At 35.8% G+C, this 12,526-nt stretch overlaps 1 protein-coding gene across 5 annotated transcripts in view; it reads left to right on the top strand.

The window, feature by feature from the left end:
* Positions 1–12,526, top strand: part of LIN7A (lin-7 cell polarity scaffold A) — a 145,415-nt gene that overhangs the window by 44,995 nt on the left and 87,894 nt on the right. For 3 of the 5 annotated variants that reach the window (NR_136888.3, XM_011538928.4, NM_004664.4), the window contains exon 2: positions 3,571–3,689. The exons of the other annotated variants lie outside the window; for them this stretch is intronic. Coding sequence is in view for 2 of the 3 variants with exons in the window: in XM_011538928.4 (XP_011537230.3) it covers positions 3,571–3,689 (119 nt within the window). In the remaining variant the exon portion in view is untranslated. The remainder of the gene's footprint in view (positions 1–3,570; positions 3,690–12,526) is intronic. 5 annotated transcript variants of the gene reach the window in all.

The raw sequence follows: 12,526 nt of genomic DNA, 5'->3' as shown, positions 1-12,526 counted from the left end.
CTTAAACACATTCGTGTTTAGAACCAATAATATGTAGCAGAGGTTCTCAACCCTGGCTGCATATTAGAATCACACAGGGGATTTAAAATTACCCATGCAAACTAGAGCAGTGGTCTCAACCTTGGCTGCACTTTAGCATCGCCTGAAGGGCTTTAAAAAGCCCCATGCCCAGCCCCCCACTCTGTGCCAATCACATCAGAAATTCTCCAGGTGGGACCGACCTAGGCATTTGTGTTTTTTTAAAGCCTCTCTGGTTGATTTTAATGTGCAGTTAAGGTTGAAAACCACTGTTCTGGAGATTCTGGTTTAATTTGTTTGTCATAGGTCTCAGGCATTAATAACTTCTAAATGCACCCTAGATAATTTCAATGCACAGCCCAGGTTGAGAACTACTAAAAATATTCAGGATAGTATCATTTTCAATTTTGCTGGACTTCACCCAGTGTAGTCTCTAATTCTCTTCAGCCTGCAGATTTAGGCTTGCCTTTTTCTCCTAGTCCAGATCCAAGCAAGGCTTAACCAAGGCTGATAATAATCTGGAGTTCTAGATTCATGAGAAGTTACAGGTTCACACAGACATAGACCTCTAACACCTGCCTTCCTGAGCCAGTCTCATCAATTAATCCCTCATTCATTCAACGAATATGCATTGAACACTTGATATTTGTTAGGTATTCTGCATTTTAGGAACATGGGATGATATGTGCCAAGACACAGGGATGTGGAATTCTGTGGATGCAATGAATGAGATATTTTGTTTCTGACATCTGAAGAATTGTATACATTCACAGAGATAAAGGAGGGAGATGTACGTGCAAACAGAGGGTAGTAATTATTATAATAGATGAGTGAACAAAGAACTATGGAAATGCAGACATGATAGCAACTGAAGCTGCTTCAGAGAGTCAGGGAAGACATTGTTGAGGAGATGGTTTTTAAGCCAAGTCTGCCCTTATATGGCCTTAAACACCCACCATGATGTGATTTCTGTCTACCTCATCTCTTGCCACTCATCTCTTGCTACTCTCACCCTGTTTTCAGCTTCAGCTATAATAAACGCCTTTTATTTCTTTGAATATCCCACACTCTCTTAACAAGCCTTTGATCTGCATTTATTCCCTTTGTCTTGAACATTCTTCCCTCCTTCTCCACTTACACCTCCTACCTAGGACTCTGCTTAGCAGTTATTTCCACAAATAGATCCTCCCTGACTTCTTTGATGATGATAAATGTCTTTGTTATACATCCATGGACAATCCTGTAGTGCTTCATTTATAGAACACACCCACTTTATTGCATGTCTGTGACCCCTGCCCCTCAAGCCTGTGAGTTCCGTGAAAGCAAGAGAAAGGGGCTATCTCCTTCACCACTGTCTCCTGTGCACAGCCCAGGGCTAGCACTACTGCATAAATGAATGAATTGCATTTCAGGAACAGGTGATGACATGTGCCAAAACATAGGTGTGGAATTCTGTGGCATGTCTTAGAAATAGCAAAAATTTGGGATGGCCCCACTATAGGATGGACAGGAGGAGGTGTTCTGAGATGAGCGAGAAGAAGTCGGCCGTTAAGGGCCTTATATGTAACCCTAAGTGCTCTGAACTTTACTCTGTAGGGAATGGGAAGCCAGGGAAGGTTTGATGTGCAGGAGAATAATAATTAGGTTTACCACTCAGGATAATTACTATGGAAGCAATGTGGCAGATGGACTGAAAAAAGAAGACTAATTTAAAGGAGATCAGTTAGGAGATGTTCCAGTACTGCAAGTGAGAAATGATGAAGACTTCCATGAGAGTGATAGGGCTCTTTACAAAAGGCAATTCCAAGATAGAATCTACCGCACTTGCCGACTATCTGTATGCAAGGGGAGTGTGAAAAACACCATAGTTTTGCTTGAGAGGATGGCTTGTTTGGGGGGAGAAATTTTTAGAAATATGGAACAAAGGAAAAGAAGAGCGAGTTTTAGGGGGAAAAAAAATGAGCTCTGAGAGTTCCATGCATCCATGGGCATCTAGGTAGAATTTTTGTCTCTGTTGTTGTTTTAGAGATAGGGTCTCACTCTGTCTCCTAGGCTGGAGTCCAGTAGTGCAATCATGGCTTACTGCAGCCTAGGTAGAGTATCTTTTGCAGTTAGAAATGCATAAAATCTCAGCTTGGTACCTTATTGATTACGGAAGTGTCTGGTTTTGTCCAGTTGACTATGTAGACTTCCTGTTTATGTACTAAAAGACAGACTTTGGAAACTGGCAGTGTCACATTGATTTAATGATTTGTGCTACTTTGGCCCACGATTGGCAGTCAAAATGACTACTTCAAAGACAGTCCCCATCAAAGTCACTTTTTGTTATTTTATTCAGTTAGATACTTACACCTATGCTAACCCCACCCAGATTCTGAGGTGCTAACAATTTTATTGAAGGTGGCTGTGCTATTATATTTCTTTCTCATTAGATTGCGAGCTTTGAAAGGGAGTATCATACTCTTGTTAAGCTGGCACCAAGCATTAATAACAGAAACTCAAAATACTGGATGGATGAGTGAATGGATAAATTTATAAGCTGATGGCAGGGATGTGGGATGCTTTCTGGAGCTAGGCACTTAGGAATCGAAAACCTCATGTCCTATAACATAAATGCCTAAGTGGCTTTTCAGTGAGTTATTTACTGTAGTGACAAGGGTAGAAGAGATCACCCATAAGTATTTTTAAATGACTCTTTATTGAATTATTTTCTCTTGGCAATATGAAATAATCCAGGGAATTTTAAATTTTATGTCTATAAAAGACTACATGTTTCTTGATACATTAACCTTTGATATTGTTAAGTGAAAGAGAAGCATTTAAAATAATTGTTATTGAAAACTCTTGCTTAGTACTGTTCTAAAGGCTGGTAGATGGGCACATGATCAGAATTTATTTTAGGAAAATAACTTTGTGGACCATTTGAAGAGGCTGGAGGAGAAGAAACAATTCCAATTGGACAGAGGGGAGATGACGAGGGCCTGAAATAATGCAATGGCAGTGAAATGGAAAAAGTGCATTAATTTTAATCACTACAATATACCATACCCTGAGGATACAATGGTAACCAAACCAGAGAAGTTCCCACCCTCAAGAAGTTTATAGGCAAACTGCGGAGATACACAGCAATCCATTAATCATAGTAATACATGTAACGTTGTAGCTATGACAAACTGAAATGGGAAAGGAAAAGTTGAACTGAAAGGAAGCACCTCAGAGGCAAAATTGATGAATTAGTTTCGTTATTGGAGTATCAGAATAAATAATAGACATGTGTCCAACTCTTTACTGACATAATATTCAAATTCATTTGTATGACACAAATTACATGAAATCCCATCAAAGAAAATGTATGAAGTGACAGATGTGTGGAACAAATTAAAATGACTTTTTACCAAAAGATGAGACCAAAAAGCTATGAATATAAGTTCTGATTATGCAATTTAAGTCCACTTGCTTTTCAATGTCATCATCCAACTGGAATAATAGTACTTTCAGCTGATGAGATACAATTTATTCTAGGTTTCTCTATTTTCATTTTTTTTCATTCAGATGTTGCAAGAGCAATTGAATTACTGGAAAAACTACAGGAATCTGGAGAAGTACCAGTGCACAAGCTACAATCCCTCAAAAAAGTGCTTCAGAGTGAGTTTTGTACAGCTATTCGAGAGGTATGGCACTAAAATTTTAATAACTAAATTCAGCCATATGTCTTCTTCATAGAAAACATGTCTTCTCTACACAAACAGTTGAAATTGTTAAGATTGGAACTACATTTTAATTTTCTGTTTTTAGCTACTTGGACAGATGATAAAATATAATTTAGCCTGCTAAATTAGATCCAGCCAGGATTTATACATTCATATAAAACCAAATGTTGATCTTCTGGTACCAATGAAGGGACTGCCTAGCAGGTGACTGTTGCATGTAGTCTATGCTATTTAGTGGTCACATGAAGCCACCTAGAAATTCAGGTAGAAATAGTTATCATTAATGGGGGCTGAGTTTGTCTAAAAAGAACATCTAACTAATTCTCTCCCAGGTAAATCTGAAGTAGTAACCTCCTACTGACTAAACATTACTGTCTAAGGCAATGGAAAATATACAGATAGGCTGGTATGCCTTTCTAGCAAATCTACATTGTAATCCTTTCTTGACTAATGGTTTCAAGAAGACTAAGGTGAAACAAGTATGTTGAAATGACTATTTGAATTTTGTATTGACTTGTGGTGGGATGGACCATTCAACTAATGAATTTAATTGGTTACAAAAGAAGCCACTTGAGATCTACAAGCTATATTGTTTTACTTGGTAACCCATTACTCCTTCCCCGTCAGGAACCAGGTAATAATTCATTAGTTAGAACCTAAAGTCCATAAATCCATTTACCCTGCCAAAATCCTCAGTGATGAATTACCTCCTGTTATTCCCTCCAAAGTCAGTTGAAACCAATGGCTACCTACAGAGTTTATTGTAGCGTAGAGCAGGCACCTCCAATGAATGCTTGTGTTACTCCACCTTTCTCTTTACAACTCTTCTTGTGGCTAATGTATATTCTTTTGCCTCAACAATACTAGTTTAGTCGCTAGGCAGGAAAGACCAAGATAAAGACATACAAAACTTCTCACTACAGATTTAAACTGGTGCCTATGCAATACATGTAAAATTTGACCTTTGCTGGAATGTGTTGACTTATGCTGTGCTTGTGCTAAATATTTATCAGGTGAAGTGTTCACTATTTAATTTTTGTTAATATTGCACACAACCTAAGTACATAACCATAATAACGTCTCTAAGTTTTAACCTATGAATTTGATTGAAGGCTGTAAGGAAATTTCTCAGCATACGGATTCTTTGGCATTAGCTTCCCCTCAGTGGGAAAGGTATAAAATATCTCAAAACTGCATGAGCGTCCTCTTGATTATGGTTGTCACTCCTGTGCTCACTCTGTAGACCAAGGCCAAATTTCGCATACTCTGTTTTCTTCCTTCACAGAGTGCCATTCCCCCGAAATTTGATGACCAATTTTTTTTCCTTTTTAGAGATTCTACCATCTCTTCTATGCCTTAGAATTCTGCTTTCCACAGAAGTAACCACAGGATAGGATACATCAAATATATACCTCTGCTCATTGAGTATGTGGCTTATGATGAATTCAAAGTCTCTACCACCATGGAACTCACAGTCTAGTGGGAGAAAACTATGATAAATAAATATACAATACAATATCAGAGTGACAAGACTGGAGAGAAATAAAGCAGGATTAGAGGGGTCATGTTGAAGCTCTATTATTTAATATGATCAGCAATAAAAGCTAATTAAGTAATGGAACAGTCACAGAAATATCAGGGGTCATAGTGTTCCAGGCAGAAGAAATCACAAGTGCAAAAACCGAAAGCTAATGTGTGTGCAGTAGAATAAGCAAGGTAGGCTCCATAGAGGTAGCTGGAGAGCAGAACACATAGGCCTGGCAGGCCATGTAGTAAGAACATTGGATTTCCTTCTAAGCATGGTAGGAAGCCTCTGGAGAGTTCTGACCTGATTTTATTTTCTTTTGAAAATGTGTGTTTGGATGCTGTGATGAGACTACAAGTGTGAGTACAAAAGTAGAAACAAAGAGAGACTAGTGAAAAAGTAGTGAGTAGATTGAGTGACAGATAAGATGATAGCAACTTGGACAAAGGTGGCAGCACTGTGAAATGGGAAGCTGTCTGATTCCAGATATATATTTTTGAGAGCAAAATCAACAGAAATTATTAATGAACTAGATGGTGATATGGGATGTCAAAGAAAGAAGACTCTATTGAATCTTAGGTTTGGGCTTGAACAATTGAATGAATGATGTTATAATAAGGTGGACTAGTTTTGCAGAAGACTATCCAGGAGCTCTGTTACGGACATAGTAAGTTGATGATGCTTTTGAGATATCCAAGCAGAGATGTCTAACAGGCATCTAAGTCTGAAGGCTGGGGGAGAAGTTGGGTCTGGAAATGTAAATGTGTTATGGATATCTGTTCAAATAAACACACCAGCCTTTTTTATTTTAGAATTTGCTAAGGAAAATGAGAATGAAATTAAAATGGAAAATAAATATGAGGGCTTTGTATAGGCATTATAAATACATCTAACAAACTCTTCCTATGGTAAAGTGGGTATGTGTGTCATTGGTAGTCCATAGAAGTCTATAACTGATCCATAGACAGTTTGACATTTTCACAGGGAAAGCAGATGATGTAATTTATCTACCTTACATTTTTATAAATTTGAACTAGTAAGATTAATTTTATATTCACAGTAAAGTCCTTAGTAATAATTTTGTTCTTAAAGGCAATGCACGTTATACAGGAAGTGTAAAAGATTACTTCATCTTGGCTAACATTTTATGCCATTCATATGTTATGGTTTATATTTGCTAAGTTTGGAATTTCTTTATTATTCTTATTGTGTTGATTTACATTTACTGTGGGAAATAATAATAGTAGCAATATATAAACAACAATTCTGAATAATATTATGAATCTTTCTAGTGAAAAGGTCTTCAATTAAAATATAAAATATGAATGCATGTTGCCAGGCAGGTGAAACCAAATGCCAGTAAAGAAAATTGCAGCTATAAAGTATGATAATAAATGTCTCGAAGTTGCATTATAGTGAGCCTAGAATACTTCCTCTTCTGGTGTCTTGGGTACTGATTGTAATACTGGCAAAAAAAAAAAACTTTGAAGTTTTAGTTTTTTATTCAAATAATGCTCAGAATCTTTGTGGTTATCTGAGTTTTTCAGAAATATTTGCTAGTTAATACTTTTCCTTGTGAAAGTTATTAATGTTGTCATGCAAAACAGAGAAAAGAACAAAAATGACAGTGGCATCATTCTTAGTTGCACTCACCAGAACAAAAACAGACATAGGTCACACTTTTGCCAACAAGATTGTAAAACATAAATTATGCTCAAAAAAGAAAGCAGGACAAGCTTTTGCCAAAAATATTTTTATTGCCTTACATAAGTGTAACAGTAGTTATTATTATATGTTGAAATAATTCCATATTTTGCTTTACATTTGGATGAAACCACTGAATCAGCTCCTGGCATATGTGCAGCACCTGTATGAAGAGAATAGTTTGATAAAATTTTATTTTTTTAACTAGAAATAGATGGCCTTAAAAGAGATTTGAAGCTCCCTTAACTATTTTTTTCTATAACCTGTAAGAAAGCATGAAAATATATGCTGAGATCAGTACTGAATGAAGACCATCTACATACACAACTAAGAAAGGCATTCCTCTATCAAGAAATAACTTACACTTGAATGCAAATCCTCACACATCTTCATTCACAGAATACAGATAGTGGTAAGCAACACTTTTCTTAGTCATGTTTTATTGCTGAAGGATCTCTAAAGACCCCTGATCAATATTTAAATTGCATCTAATCAGTGCAAGTGATTTTAAAGAACATGGCAGAGAAATGGGCTGACACATGATACTACTTTTCTATAATGAGATGTGCTGGCTGATAAGAGCACATTTACACAAGTTTTTGAATGAGAGATGAAATAAATATTTTATGGTACCGATATTCTCAGTAAAGATCATTTCCCTGATTTCAAGTGACTTCAAGCTTTAGCTTCATGCTGTATTAATTAGCTAGATTAGCCTAAACTTATTAATAGAGTTGAAATATGATGATTATGAAATGTTGATTTTTTAATAAGAGAATTCCCGAAGACAACTGAATTGCAGTGCAAATAGCTCAATTGTCAAGAATTAGACTTTGCCCCAAAACTTCATGTTCTTTGCACCTCAGAGAAAGAAATCAATAAATGTATAAGTGATCATATTTTAAGGAGACATCTAATACAAACAATACAAAGAATACAGAGTACAAAGGAATTCTTGTGGCAACCAAAGTAATAAAAAAATTAAAAATCTATGTACTATCATCATCTTCCAAGTTGTAAAATATTCATGCTCCTGCTTTTCAGGATGATGTGCTCATTGACCTGGAGGATGATGTGCTGCTAACAGTGGTCTGTTGTAAGGACTTACTCTCACATTTATAACTGCTATTTGCAGGTTTGAAGCAAAAACGCAGAACACAATGTCATAATCACCAAGAACTGCCTTCTTTGGCTAATCACCAAATTGAATGTTAGTATTTTCTAAAGTAGTAGAAGTATAGAATAAGAAAATAAATCAACCCTATATGGAATGACTGTCATTTTGTGATAATAGGATTTCAAAACTGGGTCAGTTCTCTACTTCTTTGTGCATGCTACAGTTGAATTTCTCCGTCCTATCTAAAGCTATCTATGGTTATGATAACTGCTTTAGCCAATCACATGTGAGTGGAAGAAGCTATATGTTCCACTTCTTCATGGGAGCCTATGAATAAGTAAATGATTTGCCATGTTCTCTTCCTTTTGCTAGACGACTAGTAATGTTTTATATGATAAATTATCAATCAGTCTGGTTTAAGAACGAGAAAATAAAAAATAGAGACTCTAGATAACCTTTTATGAACATGTAGTCTGAGCAAGAAATAAATCTTTGTTACTCTAAATCTCCAAGACTTAGAGATTATTGTACATCAGCATTACCCAGGCTCTCCTGACACACATTGATACACAATGATCAAACCAAATCTACTTTGGCAAAAGGTTATAAGCAGTATCAATCCTTTAATTGCTGTAAAACAAAATGTTTTAAAACTATGTTGTATAAACTGTGATACATCTTTGAAAACTTATATGAAATTTGTAACCAATATAAGTACCTATAGCCATTAGACGGTTCACAATTTTTAAAATTTTGAGAAACTTAGGTCACAAATTTTATTTGCTTCTTGATTATCTCTCATTTTCTCCTACTTTCATTATTATCTTTATAAAGAGATTTTTTTGTCTTATGAACTTAAAGATATAATCAAGATAGGAGAACTATTTGGAGTTTATCCGTCTACTGTTCAAGTGCTCCTGGTCCCCAGTGAGAATTATTTTTTGAAGGGAATGGGAATTTTCACCACAATGCCTCCCAAGAGGGCTATGTGGGAAAGGTCACCGTGAGACATTCTGTCAGATCAGAGACAGAAGCTAAGTTCATAGAGTAGTGTTGTGGTCAAATTGACCAAAGTTTGAATCCCAACTTGGCTACCTATTTTTCCCTTCTCTAAAATTGTATTTTTTAGTTTAAAATAATGGACTAATACCACCAGTCTTGCACTGATCCTGCTAATTAAATATCATGTATGTGCAGCTACCTAGTACAGTGTGTGGTAGCCAATAATTACACAATCAATGGATTTTATCATTATTAAAGAGTAGGATCCCACAGTATCCCTAAGTATGGTGTTTTGATAGGTTAGGGAATGAATAACAGATAGGAAGAGACATGGTGGTTTCCATAAGCTGAATCGAAGAAAACACACAAGACTGGTATATTTATATTCATTATCCCACCATCAATAATTAAAATAAATTGAGCTATTGCACCCTAATTTCACAACCATATGAGAAGTAGCATTACGACACAAGTTTTTGTTCTTGATGCTTTTCAAATTAATGCCTATTAATGTCTTAATCTACTGTGTGGATGAAAACATAGAAGGAAAACTTAATCAGCTTTATGAGAGAGTCAATGCTTGGTTGGGTGATACAACTTAGATTCAGAATTACCCTAAGAAAATACATACTTGGCTCATTAGTGACAATATGAGATAAAATAAGGATAATAGGAGAAAGAGGAATTGGAGGAAGAAAGAATGGGAGCGAGTGAAGGATGAGAAGGAGAGAGGTAGGGAAGAAAAACAGAAGAAGGAAAAAGAAGAGAAAAACAGAAAGAGAGAGAAGAAAGAAGGAAAGAAGGAAGGAGGGAGGGAGGGAAGTAAAGCTGATACTGAATCATAGCTTATTGTAATATAATGGAAAAGTGCAGAAAGAATATTGGCAATGGATGGTGACAAATCTGGATTCACATCCTTGCTTGACCACATCATTTTGTAATCTAGTGCCAAGTTACTTAATTTCTGTGATCTTGGTTTTGCTTATTCTCTTTTTTAAGATAAAATAAGACAATAATAACTACATAGGATTGTCAGAAAGATTAAATAAAATGAGATAGCAGATTACATACCTTGACTAATACAGTGCCTAGCTTAAAGAGTTGACGATTAAGAAATTGTAGCTATTGTAAAAATTTTGATGGATTAAGTGATAAAAAGCTAAAATTAGAAATAATAGTTAAGAATCACCATTGTCATTGACTATTATTCTGAATGGCCTAGCTACTAAAATAAGTCAAGAAAAACATAAAATAGGTGTAAGTATTAGAATGAAAGAAAAGGCCGGGCGCGGTGGCTCACGCCTGTAATCCCAGCACTTTGGGAGGCCGAGGCGGGCGGATCACGAGGTCAGGAGATCGAGACCATCCCGGCTAAAACGGTGAAACCCCGTCTCTACTAAAAATACAAAAAATTAGCCGGGCGTAGTGGCGGGCGCCTGTAGTCCCAGCTACTTGGGAGGCTGAGGCAGGAGAATGGCGTGAACCCGGGAGGCGGAGCTTGCAGTGAGCCGAGATCCCGCCACTGCACTCCAGCCTGGGCGACAGAGCGAGACTCCGTCTCAAAAAAAAAAAAAAAGAATGAAAGAAAAATGATAGTACTGTTATTACTCACAGATGATATGATCGTATATGTAAAAATCCAAAAGAATATTTAGAGAAACCATTAGCATTGCATTTCTTTATATAATTTCACTCCTATATATTCAATAAAATATGTACCTATGTATGTAGTTCTTGATCATTCAAAAAATGCAATATTTTTAAATGGATGGCTCCAAATTTTCAGATAGATGTTAACACATTGTAGTGGTTGTAGAAAAAGGCAACCAGCATAGAAAGAGATCTGGATACCTTGTTAGATGACAAGAAGTTAAGAACTTGGTGATATTCAGCCACATAAAGAGAAAAGTAATGTGTAACATAAGATTTACCACCCAATAGTTGATGGGATAAATGGCAAGAGAATTAACCATGCCAGAACACTGGATGAAAAATGGAAGAATAACCAAGGATAACCAGATAACCAAGGATAACTAGAAATACCCAACTATTACAAATGGGCTCATTTGTAATACAGGAAACTTCCTATATAACAACAGCAGAGATTAGATGCTGTATTTCAGATCACGTTATAAAAGGGATATTTTAGTTAAAGATCATATACAGACTTTATGTTGTAGGTTAAGTAAGAGCAAACATATATATATGTGTGTGTACATATATATATATATATAACTTAGCTTTATTTTGTTTTCTTTGCTTTTTGTGCAAAAAATTGTTCATGGTAAAATATTTTTTTAATGTATTTAATGTTTTAATATTTTTATTGTTTTAAAATATTTTAATGTTTTCCTTTAAACATGGACAGAGTAGCATGTATTTTTTCACACAAAGTTACTATCCTTGCACAATGACATCTGGAATGGCATTGCATTCATCAGAATTAATGAAAATGCATCTGACATTATGTTTGTGCATATCTCTTTCTGTTCACATTAAACTTAGCTTAAGTTGGCAAATGTCAGAGAAAAGAAAGCTGATGGCTCCTACATTTCCTTTGATTTTATTTGCATTGCTAAATGTGATGGGACACAAAAGCCAGACTGTTTCTTGTGTGATAAGTTTCCTGCCAATGATAGGATGAAGTCAAGAAAGCTTATTTCTGAGCATCCTGAAAATAAATCACACAATATAGATTTTTTTCCCCTGGAGAAGAAGTTCAATTTTAAAAGGATGGAAATTTACCAAAACTTATATTTGCACTAACATGAAACTTTTGACATGTTTCCAATCAAAAGAAACCATAAATAACTGGAGAAAGCTTTATCATTTCAAGTACTCTAGAAATGCTTGAGCTGGTTGGTTGATTAGAATAAAAAAAATTAATAGCACCTCTGTTCACTTGATAGAACCTACTCTTGAACTCTGGTATTTTGCCAATATTTCAAAGCCAGTTATAGTGAAAATAACAGCTGTGGCATTCCCATTTGGCATGCAACTGAGTGAAAACTATGATTGTTTCAGTAAAACTCTGATTTTTATCTCTCACCTGAATGTCGATGTGTGTGTGTGTGTCTGTGTGTGTGTATGTGTGTGTGTGTGTGTGTGTGTGCGTTGCCTCCTCCCAACAGAGTTTATCAAGCAAAACTCCTAATGGAACAAAAATCTTGATACTGCAAGTACATATGGAGTACATATGGAGTTTCTTTATGCAAGATCCAGCGTAATTAATCTGGTGAAGACAGAGGTTCCACTTTTCATAGAGACATATTGCCCTCACCATCAGCATGCATTCGTGTGAAAGACACTGATAATTATTCTAAAAAGATGCTTTGCCTGCTCTGTTAAAATAATTTCACAGACATAGCCAGAAATCTAGAGTTTCAAAAGTTTTTATTTGGGAATGAAGCAAAATGTATTATTTTTACTATCAGAAGTTTTTTGGCTTTC

Source organism: Homo sapiens, chromosome 12, assembly GCF_000001405.40.
Source record: "Homo sapiens chromosome 12, GRCh38.p14 Primary Assembly".
Lineage (NCBI taxonomy): Eukaryota > Metazoa > Chordata > Mammalia > Primates > Hominidae > Homo > Homo sapiens.
This window is presented reverse-complemented; position numbering and strand designations above follow the sequence as displayed.